At 43.1% G+C, this 12397-nt stretch overlaps 1 protein-coding gene and 1 long non-coding RNA gene across 4 annotated transcripts in view, besides 1 other annotated feature; one reads left to right on the plus strand and one right to left on the minus strand.

Annotated features, from left to right (window-relative positions):
- Positions 1-421: 421 nt before the first annotated feature.
- On the minus strand, positions 422-4278 carry LOC124902388 (uncharacterized). The gene is made up of 2 exons (XR_007062078.1): positions 2452-4278; positions 422-893 (listed from the first exon to the last, which is right to left on the minus strand). It is a non-coding gene; the product is annotated as an uncharacterized LOC124902388 (long non-coding RNA).
- Positions 3406-4171: an enhancer, noted in NCBI's record as "H3K27ac hESC enhancer chr10:20104285-20105050 (GRCh37/hg19 assembly coordinates)". NCBI's record gives its function as "activates a minimal SCP1, AML or CMV promoter by ChIP-STARR-seq in naive and primed H9 embryonic stem cells {active_cell/tissue: H9 hESC(naive and primed)}" and the evidence as "EXISTENCE:reporter gene assay evidence [ECO:0000049][PMID:30033119]".
- Positions 4279-4481: 203 nt separating the features above from the next.
- Positions 4482-12397, plus strand: part of PLXDC2 (plexin domain containing 2) — a 473425-nt gene continuing 465509 nt past the window's right edge. For all 3 annotated transcript variants that reach the window (NM_032812.9, NM_001282736.2, XM_011519750.3), the window contains exon 1: positions 4482-5241. In NM_032812.9, coding sequence (NP_116201.7) covers positions 5130-5241 — 112 coding nt within the window. In that variant the 5' untranslated portion in view covers positions 4482-5129. The remainder of the gene's footprint in view (positions 5242-12397) is intronic.

Genomic DNA, 12397 nt, shown 5'->3' on the forward strand with positions numbered 1-12397 from the left:
ACTTGCCCATTTTCCTTTATTTGCAAAATGCAGGAATTTAACCTATCTTTGAGTACAATTTAGGAATATGGTCTAAGTTTCTATGATACAATGTTGCCATTTAAAAATAAATGTAACATAATGCTCCTACCCCCTTTTGATAATATAGTGTTCCATCTTATTAATATCTTTTCTACATTTTGAGTTACACATTTTTATGCTTTGCTATTTACTGGTCAAAACCACTTTAGCTCATTAAGATTCAGAAAGGAGGCTATAAAGATGTATGCCATTTTAATGCAGGATATTGTTTCATTATGAATGTGCCTATATTGTTAATTTCATCTAGATAGTACATGTAGTATTGATATGAGGCTAAAAGGCATAAAGTATTCTTGTATGTTAAATGCTCCAGTTAAAAAGAGTTATGTTAGCTGTTAAGTGAGTTTTAAAAAGATGTTTATTCAATTCAAACACATAATTGATAAAATTTTCACCTTAAAACTATAAAGAACAAAAAGCTGGAATATCCATCAACAGTACAATAGAATTACAGTTTATTCTGAGAGCAGATCAGCCAAGACGAACAAATGAGTCTTGTAATTGCATACCAGAGGTCAAAAAATTAGCCTTACCAAATGAGGAGGGAGAGGAAATGCTGAGACCTAGAGGAAAGGTCATAATATTTGGACTGAATAAAAGCATTTCACTAATAGCAATTTCCCTTTATCTGACAGCAATTGTAGAAAGTTTTAACAAATCCTGTTAAAATGGACAAAAACTATTTCCTGAATAGTTAAGAAAAGATTATAATAAATGCCAAGTATTCTACAGCATGTATAGAATCTCATTTCCAAGTGAGCATGCTGTTTTCTTCAGCATCCTGTTAGCCAAGTTCCAATTTTGGACAGGTCCTAGGAAACACAACATTGTTAAAGACAGAGATGATACGAGGTGATTAATTGTAAGTACATTTCTATAGATAGTATTGCACTTGGAGTGTGTAAAAATCTCTCTGAAGATTGGTAGAGATAAGGGTTGTAAACAGGTTTGAAATCCACACAGTGATAGCTCACATGCTAATCTTTGCCCAAAGTTCTATGTTGTTGAGAATGATTCTGATATATTATTTTAAAGGAGAGAGTGTCGTATGAATTCCAGATCTTTGTCATGGACAAAGAATCTAAGTGCTATTCATTTGTGGTTCCTGATTCATTTGTTCCTTGAGAGATTAGCTAAAATTAAGAGTAGGTGAAAGAACCACCAATTCCTTTCCTATGTCTATAGTGAATACAAACAGCCGTTACTACGTCTCTCCCTCATGTCAGATGGAAGATGTAACATCTTCCACAAATACTTACTTTGTTACTACAAAATGGAAAGAGACACTTCTACTGTGGTGAAATGTGTATGGCAAACCCAAATAATTTAGGCCACAAAATACCCTAGTTTAGCCAGAATTATGAGTAATCTACTTTTTCCATTTCACTCTGAACATACTGTCCTACATACATTTTATTTATTCGTTCCTTGCTACAGTGTAAAGGCAGAATATACTTTAAAAAAATAATCATTCATCAACATTTAAGGCAAATGATCAGAGCTTGAGTTTATTGTTATACAATGTTGCTCTTTCTTCTTTATTTCTGAACAGCAAATCTCATCAAGCATGATTGAGTTTTGCTTACTTGTATCTTCTCCCTTACTTCCGCATTTACTATGTGTATAGCTCTTCAGAATAAAATTAAGATAGGAGTAAACCAATACAATTCAGCAGCATCAGTGACATAACCAAACATATAAAAGTCCTTCCTGACTGACCCTGAATGACCATTTACCCCCTTTCAAATTTTGACATCAAATTTCTACTTACAAAAAGTATATAGTTTCAATCAGGTGGTCAAAGCATTGATGACCGCAAGTAACAAGAAAAATGAACCCTGCGAATACGCACATAAAATAATAAAGGAAAAAAGAAAGAAAATGATAGCAAGGAGAGGTGGAGATTTGCTTGTTCTCAGAGGAGGAAACACCTATTTTTCTACTGTGAAAGAAGGAGAAATAACTCGGTCTGAAAAAAGAGGTGCTTTCTTGAAATGGTTTCCGCTGGATTCCCCATTATTTTAGATATGATGGGAGCTGGAGTTGTGCAGAATATTTTGGGACGCTTTCCGCATGGATTTATGATCCTCAAAAAGAATCGGCATCAATTAAACTATAGTTGACCCTTGAACAGTATGGGGGTCAGGGGGACGGACCCCCACACAGTAGAAAATTAATGTATAATTTCGACTCCTCATAAACTTAACTGCTAATACCCTACTGTTGATTAGAAGCATTACTGATAATATAAAAACAGTTGATTAACACATATTTGGTATGTTCTACATATTACATACTGTATTCTTAAAATAAAGTAAGCTAGAGAAAAGAAAATGTTAAGAAAATCATAAGGAAGATAAATATACTTACTGTTTATTAAGTGGAAGTGGATCATCAGAAAGGCTTTCATCCTCATCGTCTTCACATTGAGTGGGCTGAAGCGGAGGAAGAGGAGGGGTTAGTCTTGCTCTGTTAGGGGTGGCAGAGGAGGAAGAAAATCCATGCAAAAGCGGATCCTCGCAGTTCAAACCCCTGTTGTTCAAGGGTCAACCGCACAATCAGGTTTTGATGAGAAGACTCAGTTTTCAAACTTGATTTTAAGCAGGTATATATCCGGGTACTCAAATTCGGATGTAATATTACATAGAACTTAAACACTCCTAGTTAAGCAGAAATAGAAAAACCCAGTTACCTAAGTAGAAATCAACCTATGGGAGGAAAGCTCAGGAAAGAGCCAGGGTCCTGGCATAATAAAGAGTATAGGCATGATATATGTTTGTGTTTATACGTGTATATCTGTTGTTTGGAAATAAAGAGCAAATTGAGTATTGGATTAAGGGAAACCTTTCTTGTTTCCCATGAGAGAGCCGTCCTTTGAGCATCACATTTGCAAAGGTAGATTGATTATCCGGATCCACTTCCAGTGGGTTTTGTGGCAAGCCGAGACATCTATTGACAGCATCCATAGACTCTTCAGAGCTTGGAGTGGAAAGGACCTTGAACTTAGAACACATGCACATTTATTATGTGATTGAAGTCGTCTTCTCTCACTTTTGCTTCAGTAAACACTTAAACAAAGCCATGTACTTTGCGGTAGGCAATGTTCTATATTTATTAAATATACAGTTAACTCATCCAATCCATTGCAACCACCTTATAAGGGCGTTACTCTAATTCTCTCCATTTGATGGATGGATAACTGAGGCTAGGAGATAAACTGCTCATTGCGGGGGAGGTGAAATTCCAGCCCAGGCTGTCCGGGCTCTAGATCCTGTACTTTTAACCAATAGCGCTTTGCTTCTTTTCCTTGTATTTATCCCTTTCAAAAATGATTAACTGTATGCAAAATAAGATATCAACTAACGAGAGGGCCGGCAAGGGTTAACGCGGAAACAGATCCCCGAGCTGAAAAAACAAAAACAAACTGGGGAGCCAGAGCCCCTGAAAGCTCCGGTAGGAAATTCAATGGGCCTCCTGTTCCTTTAAACTCTCGCTTTCGCCCCCGCTGACACTTTGCAAAGCCGCGGCGGCAGCGGCGGGGACCACGCTGCGGTGCACCACCTTCCGCCACCCTCCCGCGCTGGGCTGGGGTCGAGGGGGCTTCGCAGAGTCGGTAACCGAACCGGCTCTGGTTTGCTTTCTCCACTCCCTAGCCACTACCAGAACCAGCCTCCGCGAAGGGGCGAGCTGTGGTTAACCCTTTCGTGCCCAGGGAGACCCCGCCAGGGTCGGGGCGGGGCGCGATCGCCCCCCGCAGTCGGGCGCGAAGGCGGCCCGGGAGCCAGGTGGGTGTGGGGCGCAGTTGGCGGAGCTGCCCAGGGCGTGCGAGCAGGCTGCGAGGATGGCGCCCCGGCGGCGCGGAGGTACCGCCCCGCGCTCCCCCGATAGCTCCCCGGCCTGTCCCCTCTCCCCGCGCTCTGGGGCAGCCGGCTGCCTGGGGCGCACGGGGCTGGAGTGGCCCTCTCCCTCCCCTTCGCTAGGCTCCCCCGGCTTAATCTGTTGGCCGCGACTCCTCAGCCAGCCCCGAGGAAAGTGCAGCCATTGGACAGGTCTGTGCGGGCTGCCGGTTTCAGGGAGGAAGGTGGGAGAAGCCTGGAGGAGCGAAGGGGAGGGCGGAGGGAGGAGGGAGGAGGGTGCGGCGGCAGATCTGGCAAATTGCGAGCTGCCTTCCCTCCTCAAAGTGTGGAGAAGGAGCGCGGGGGAGCGTGGCGACGGCAGCGCCTCCTCCGCCACCAAACTCCTGGGGCTCCGCGGGGGCTTGGGGCCACCTCCTCCTGAGCCCGGAGGAACCCTCTCCCGATAGGTTCCAGCGTGACTCCCTCCCACTCCACCCTTTTCCTTTCTTCTTCCTCTTTTTTTTTTTTTTTTTTAAACACATTTTTTTCCTGGCTTCGGACCTCAGACTGCTGCAGCCCTAACCTTCCCAGGGCTCAGCTCTTTGGAGCTGCCCATTCCTCCGGCTGCGAGAAAGGACGCGCGCCCTGCGTCGGGCGAAGAAAAGAAGCAAAACTTGTCGGGAGGGTTTCGTCATCAACCTCCTTCCCGCAAACCTAAACCTCCTGCCGGGGCCATCCCTAGACAGAGGAAAGTTCCTGCAGAGCCGACCAGCCCTAGTGGATCTGGGGCAGGCAGCGGCGCTGGCTGTGGAATTAGATCTGTTTTGAACCCAGTGGAGCGCATCGCTGGGGCTCGGAAGTCACCGTCCGCGGGCACCGGGTTGGCGCTGCCCGAGTGGAACCGACAGTTTGCGAGCCTCGGCTGCAAGTGGCCTCTCCTCCCCGCGGTTGTTGTTCAGTGTCGGGTGAGGGCTGCGAGTGTGGCAAGTTGCAAAGAGAGCCTCAGAGGTCCGAAGAGCGCTGCGCTCCTACTCGCGTTCGCTTCTTCCTCTTCTCGGTTCCCTACTGTGAAATCGCAGCGACATTTACAAAGGCCTCCGGGTCCTACCGAGACCGATCCGCAGCGTTTGGCCCGGTCGTGCCTATTGCATCGGGAGCCCCCGAGCACCGGCGAAGGACTGGCGGGTGGGGTAGGGAGGTGGCGGCGGCGGCATGGCGAGGTTCCCGAAGGCCGACCTGGCCGCTGCAGGAGTTATGTTACTTTGCCACTTCTTCACGGACCAGTTTCAGTTCGCCGATGGGAAACCCGGAGACCAAATCCTTGGTAAGTAAGATGCACTTTAGCTTGCTGATTTTGTGCGCAGCTGAAGACCTCTCTGGCACTCTCGTGCTCCCTACCCTCTCCCCCCAACATCACCTATCTGCCCTTGGGAAACTTATTGCAGTTGCTTTTCGGCTAAACTTAGGCTTCCCAAATGGGGAAAGAGGGTTATCAAGAGAAGGACGCCGGGGACTAGGGGTTTTCTTGAGGCTTTCGGGCTTACTTCACCTGGGCGGCAGGGGGTGGTACTGTCTCCCCAAAGTAGCCCAGGGAGGGCTTCAGTGTGAGAGCAAAGCTTCTTCCGTGGATACATCTCCTAGGACCTGGCATCTCCAGGCTGTGTGCTCTCCGGCTCCTCCTCCTTCCTCGCTGCTGGTTAAACTAAGCGTGTGTGGTATGGGGTGGGTGGGGGACGTTGTGAAAGCCAGGGATTGCAGGTCTCCCCTCTGCACGAGAAAATTCCCTGTGGCAGCACCTTCCTTCCCCTGGCGATCCCCACTAGCTCCGTCTAGTGACCTGGGCCAAGCGGGCGCTGGAAGGGGGGCGGGGTAAATGCGGCCGGCGCAGAGGTGGGGAGCAGGTGGGAAAGGTGGAGGCGGGCTCGCCTCTGGAGACCTACCCCTGCTCCCATTGTCCTCCGCCTGCCAGCTTCACAGACAGGCCTGAACGCGCAGAGAGTTCCTTGGAGTGCCCTGATTTTGTCCCCGAGAGGGCCCCCAACCTCCGCATCCTCTTAGTGGCTGTCCTGGCAGGTGCGCGTCCTGCGGGGAGTTGCGCCCCGGGGGCTATCGCCGAGCGGGAGCTGCCTCCTGGAACCCTGCCCACCGCGAACTGGGTGCCTACTCCCCATTTCTGCCTTTCAGTGAAGAAAGTGAAGACACAGGCAGAAAGAGATCTTGGCAGAAATTGGTGAACTAGGGTGGACTTCGAGAGGAGGTGAAACGAGAGAAAAAGAAAAAAGAAAAAACTTGGAGGGAAAAGAAAAGAAAACGAAAACTTTCTCCCTAGGATAATCAATTTGTCAATTTGTTCTTTTCTGGTGTGTGTGTGTGTGTGTGTGTGTGTGTGTGTGTGTGTGTGTGTGTAATTTAAATGATTGCCCGGAAAGTATGCATGCGTCCTCAACAGTCAACTAGAGAGTCACAGATGGAAGGTTGGGGGACACCTGGGGATTCCAGGCAAGGTGAATCTTGAAGATCTTGAAGGAAACCCTTGAGTGAAATTTACCAAGCCGCGACTTAGAAGACAGTCACAACACTTCGCCTGTCCCTGGTGTAAACTGTTCTAGATAAAGCACAGATACTGACTCTGCGCTCTTATTTATGGTTGAAGGGGTGTGTGTGTTGGGGTGTATGTGCAGGGAGGCAATAGGATGACAACACTTTTAAAGCTGAGAACAAAATGCAGATTTCTTGGGTGTTGACTTGTCTTTGTCACATTTAATTGTTCTGCATTAATGGACATAGGTTGTTCTTGACTGTGTATGATTTATGACAGTAGACTATGCCTTTTGTTTATTTCTCTGATACGTTTCATTGGTCCGAAAAAATAACACTTTTAGCCTTCCAGGAAAGGACACAGTTATTTAAAAATTGCAACAGTAATTTTCATGTACTTATTCACGGTATGAATAGATGCTTAATAAAAACAATTAACTCCACCACAAACGAGGTTAAAAGGATGTGTGTGCCAATGTGCATCCCAAGTTGTTTATTTAAAAACTTCTTTGGCACTAGGAATAAATAATGCATTTGCAGTAAAGGAAAAAAAAATAAATGCCAGCAAATGTTTATCTTTTTATAAACCTGTTCCAGTAACGTTACTGAAAAAAGAATATATGTATACACACACACACACACACACACACACACACACAATACACACACATTTGCTATGCCAAGAAGTTCAGAAATTGAGGATGAAATTCATCCCAAAGTAAGATTGGCCATATAATTAAAAGCCCTTGCTGTGGGAAATATAAAATACTTAAAATGTTCAACATCAGTGTACTGGTATTTTAAGCTAGTTGAATATTTCTGATGGGAAATATACTCTAGAAACCCATATATTGATAGGATTGATTTTTAAAAGAATGGTTTTAAATTCCTTGCCAAATTTTCGAAGACTTTTATAAACAGAAGTAGCTTCTTTCCTGGACATCATTTACATGTAGTTTTATGAAAAAAATATTGTAATTAAATGGTTAGCTTACTGAATATATAAAAAAAGCAAGGTGAAACAGAAAAAAGTATACAACTTTATTTGTAAAATAGTCTATATAAAAATTCAGTATGGGGGGAAAAGTCCAGCAGTCTTGACGTTTGTCATGCAACAATCAGGATCTTTATTACAGACATGTTGGCACAGGAACAACATCTGATTTCATAACAGGGACATTTTATTATGCGTTACTTTAGTAAATGCTGCAGTTGATTTCATTGCCACCAGAGGGCAGATAAACTGCTAATTTCCTCTATTATTCCCTTTTCTGTTTTAGAGGGAAGTAGTTTATGTTTATCATATAATTTACACTTATTTTAGTTGTTCTTCTCTGGTTGAATATTTTTCTGTTATTTCCTGCTTTTGTTGGAGTTAAACAATTTACTTTGAAATATTACTCATTTGTAGAGTTTGTTATGAGAGTGTTGCTGTTGAGACATAATCACTAAAGTTTCTGTTTACATATAAACCTAGAGCACAGTGATATAATAGAGGGGTTAATTCAAGTGAACATTTATTGTAAAATGGACATCTGTCATATTGTTGGACAAAAGACAGGTTGATTATTTTATCAATCAATGACTTGAGGCTACCTGCAAAATTTTAAAAATATGAAATATGAGTTTCTTTTTCCTTTAGAGAACAGATACAAGTTTTGGAGCTTGAGGTTGGGTAAGTTTGGACTGAGACATAATTGTAGTGTAGAACATTTATATCAAAGGTAATTTTTGTTGTTGTTGTTCATGGATGTCTGCCTAGAGGTTTGGAATTATTATAATCAGGAGAATTTGCACATTTCAGTGTGATCTTCAGAAATAAACTCTTGTCAGGGAGAATGTATTTGAATAAAACTTAATAATGAAAGATAATAATTTTGCTCCAGACAGGTTTCTTCACTGTAAGCATCAGATACTCACAGAGTATGTAGAAAATATGTGTCCGGCCGGGCGCGGTGGCTCACGCCTGTAATCCCAGCACTTTGGGAGGCCGAGGCGGGTGGATCATGAGGTCAGGAGATCGAGACCATCCTGGCTAACAAGGTGAGACCCCGTCTCTACTAAAAATACAAAAAAAAATTAGCCGGGCGCGGTGGCGGGCGCCTGTAGTCCCAGCTACTCGGGAGGCTGAGGCAGGAGAATGGCGGGAACCCGGGAAGCGGAGCTTGCAGTGAGCCGAGATTGCGCCACTGCAGTCCGCAGTCCGGCCTGGGCGACAGAGCGAGACTCCGTCTCAAAAAAAAAAAAAAAGAAAAGAAAATATGTGTCCTTATCAATTAGTTTTGTCATTTTTTCCTAAAAGCTATCTCCTATTGCAGAAACATTATGTTTTTAAAGAGGAATGAGTTGATCAACAGCCTTGATCATGGGATCTAAAGTCTTCAGCTGCAGGCTGGGCACGGCAGCTCATGCCTGTAATCCCAGCACTTTGGGAGGCCGAGGTGGGCGGATCACCTGAGGTGAGGAGTTCCAGACCAGCCTGGCCAGCATGGTGAAACCCCGCCTCTACTAAAAATACAAAAATTAGCCGTGTGTGGTGGTAGACCCCTATAATCCTGGCTATACTTGGGAGGATGAGGCAGGAGAATCACTTGAACCCAGGAGGCGGAGATAGCAGCGAGCCGAGATTGCACCATTGCACTCCAGCCTGGATGGGCGACAAAGGGAGACCCTGCCTCAAAATAAAAATAAAAATAAGTAAACAAACAAATAAATAAATGAAGTCTTCAGCTACTTTCTCCTCACATTAATACAGTCTCTTCTCCATGGTCTTCAAGGCCATTGCCTGTGGCCTCAAGCACTTTCCCACCCTCTCTCCCCTGCCTGTTCTTGAAAGCTCTCACCAGATGAGCTGCTGAAGTTCCCTGAGTGTGTACCATGCATTACCACTTCTGCCATTCCTCCTGCTCTTCCTTCTCTAAGTGCGTCTCCATCCATCCATTTTCCAATTTTTCCTGCAGATTTATCTCAAGTGACACTCTCCACAAAAGGACGTGTTGTCTTAGAATTCTCAGTGCACTTTATGCCTTCTTCAAAGGCACTTGCTTGATATTGTAGGGTTTCCTTTTCTTTCCATTTCTACCTCTCTCTCATGTATTCTATTAGACTAGACCATACATTCCTGAGGTCAGGGTCTGTTGTCATTTATTTCTGAATCTGCTGTGGCAACAACCAATAAATAGTTGCAATAAATGGTTGTTGGACTGAACTGAACTGACTAGAACTATAGTTCAAGCTGAATTATTAATTTGAATGCCACGTTGGGAGACTTTTTAAATAATTCCCATGCTAAGACTTTGTCCATCCCTAGGATAGAAATAAATTTAAAACGAACTTTGGAGAGTAACTGTTGAAACCAAAGCATAAGATCCAGAAGTCTGCTAAACTATCCTTCTACTATTAGGTGGGACTTTCAAAAAATTCATTCGACCATTCTTCTATCCTGCTGGTTTCTGAGTGAATGTTCACTCATGTTCTTAATCTCATATCTTTTTTCTTTTATACATTCCTTTAAAAAAAATTCTTTGTTTTCATTTTTAATAATATGTATTTAAGCTGTGCAACATGATGCTTGTTTATTTTCTTATTCTATGTATAAGAGAAAGCAAATTGCATTTGTATTTCCGTGTCTGAATTATTTTACTTAGCACAATGTCCCCCAGATTCATCCATGCTATCACAAATAGCAAGATCTTCTTTTTTAAAGCTAAATAATATTCCATTGTGCATATATATGCACTATATATGCAATATATAATGTATATACACTATATATGCACTATATAGTATATATGCACTATATATAATATATATGCACTACATATGCAATATATAATATAAATGCCCTATATATGCAATATATATAATATATGCACTATATATGCAATATATATAATATATATGCACTATATATGGAATGTATATGCACTACATATGCAATGTATGTGGAATATATATCCAGTTATTCATCAATGGACACTCAGGTTGTTGTCATATCTTGGCTATTGTGAATAATGCTTCAATTAACATGGGAGTGAAGATACCTCTTAAAGGCTCTGGTTTTATTTTCTTCAGGTATATATACAGAAGAGAGGTTGCTAGCTCATATGGTGGTTTTATTTTTGATTTTTTGAAGCAACTTCATATTGTTCTTTTTATGGCTCTACCAATTTACATTCCCACCAACAGTGTATAAGGGTTGCCTTTTCTCCACATCCTCACCCACACTTACTATCTATTGTCTTTTTGACAATAGCCATCTTAATATTAGTAGGTGTGAGATGATACCTTATTGTGATTTTGATTTGTATTTCCCTAATGATTAGTGATGTTGAGGACCATGTCATATGCCTGTTGGCCATTTTTTTTGTCTTCTTTGGAGAAATGTCTTTTTTAGGCACTTTGCCTATTTTAATATCAGTTATTTACATTAAGCCTTCTGTTGATAGATAGGACTTTCAAAAAGTTTATTCCACTATTTTCCTATACTGCTAGTTTCTTTCTGGATGTTTACTTACTTTTTTTTTTTGAGACAGAGTCTCGCTGTTTCTCCCAGTCTGGAGTGCAGTGGCGCGATCTCAGCTCACTGCAAGCACCGCCTCCCAGGTTCACGCCATTCTCCTGCCTCAGCTTCCCAAGTAGCTGGGACTACAGGCACCCGCCACCACGCCCAGCTAATTTTTTGTATTTTTTAGTAGAGACGGGGTTTCACTGTGTTAGCCAGGATGGTCTCGATCTCCTGACCTCGTGATCAACCCACCTCAGCCTCCCAAAGTGCTGGGATGTTTACTTATGCTTTTAATTTAATATCTTAAAATATGATATACATATATATGTACATATGCATACATATATGGTGGTGGTGGTGTTTCATTTCACTGAAGATGAAGACTATTAAATAATTTTGGTTCTTTGTGGGATTCTTTTTGAATTAAACTGTTTTAGGCCTCATGTCACTAAACTATAATGAAGGAGGCTGTAAAAATATTGTCTCGGCTGGGCGTGGTGGCTCACACCTGTGATCCCAGCACTTTTTTGGGAGGTGGAGGTGGGTAGATCAAGAGGTCAGGAGATCAAGACCATCCTGGCCAACATGGTGAAACCCCGTCTTCCCTAAAAATAAAAAAAATTAGCCAGGCATGGTGGCATGCACCTGTAGTCCCAGCTACTCAGGAGGCTGAGGCAGGAGAATCGCTTGACCCGGGAGGTGGAGGTTGAGATTGCGCCACTGCACTCCAGCTGGGCGACAGAGCAAGACTTCATCTCAAAAAAAAAAAAATTCTCATAAAACTTGTTTTGAGGTGAGGTTCAGTGGCTCACACCTGTAATCCCAACACTTTGGGAGGCCGAGACAGGGGGATTGCTTGAGTCCACGATTTGGAGACCAGCCTGGGCAACATAGGGAAGAGACCTCATCTCTACAGTTTTTTTGTTTTGTTTTGTTTTGTTTTTAATTAGCTGTTCATGGTGGTGCACACCTGTAGTCCCAGCTACTTGGTAGGCTGAGGTGGGAGGATCACTTGAACCCAGGAGGTCAGGGCTGCAATGAGCTGTGATTACACCACTGCATTCCAGCCTGGCCAACAGAGTGTGACCCTGTCTCAAAAAGTAAAATAATAAAAAATCTTGCTGTGGGAGCTGTTACAGGGAAGCAGATGAGGATATTCTGCAATACATTTCACGGTGTCTGCTCCCCAAGATATTATGCCATGAGAAAATGAGAAAGAGAAAGAGACAGAGACAGGGTGAGAGACCTTATGTTTCAATAACAGACATAGTTCTTTTGAACTTGTTTGTGTCTTCTGGACATTATAAATAGTACCTAGGAGTTTTACCATTTAACTTTTGGTTTCTTGAAATCTCAGTGCAAGATTTGTGGCCCACCTCCAACAAGCATATAAACCTTCTGGCCTACATTTGTGTGCTAGCTTACCTATGTCTTC

The sequence above is a fragment of the Homo sapiens genome, chromosome 10 (assembly GCF_000001405.40).
Source record: "Homo sapiens chromosome 10, GRCh38.p14 Primary Assembly".
Lineage (NCBI taxonomy): Eukaryota > Metazoa > Chordata > Mammalia > Primates > Hominidae > Homo > Homo sapiens.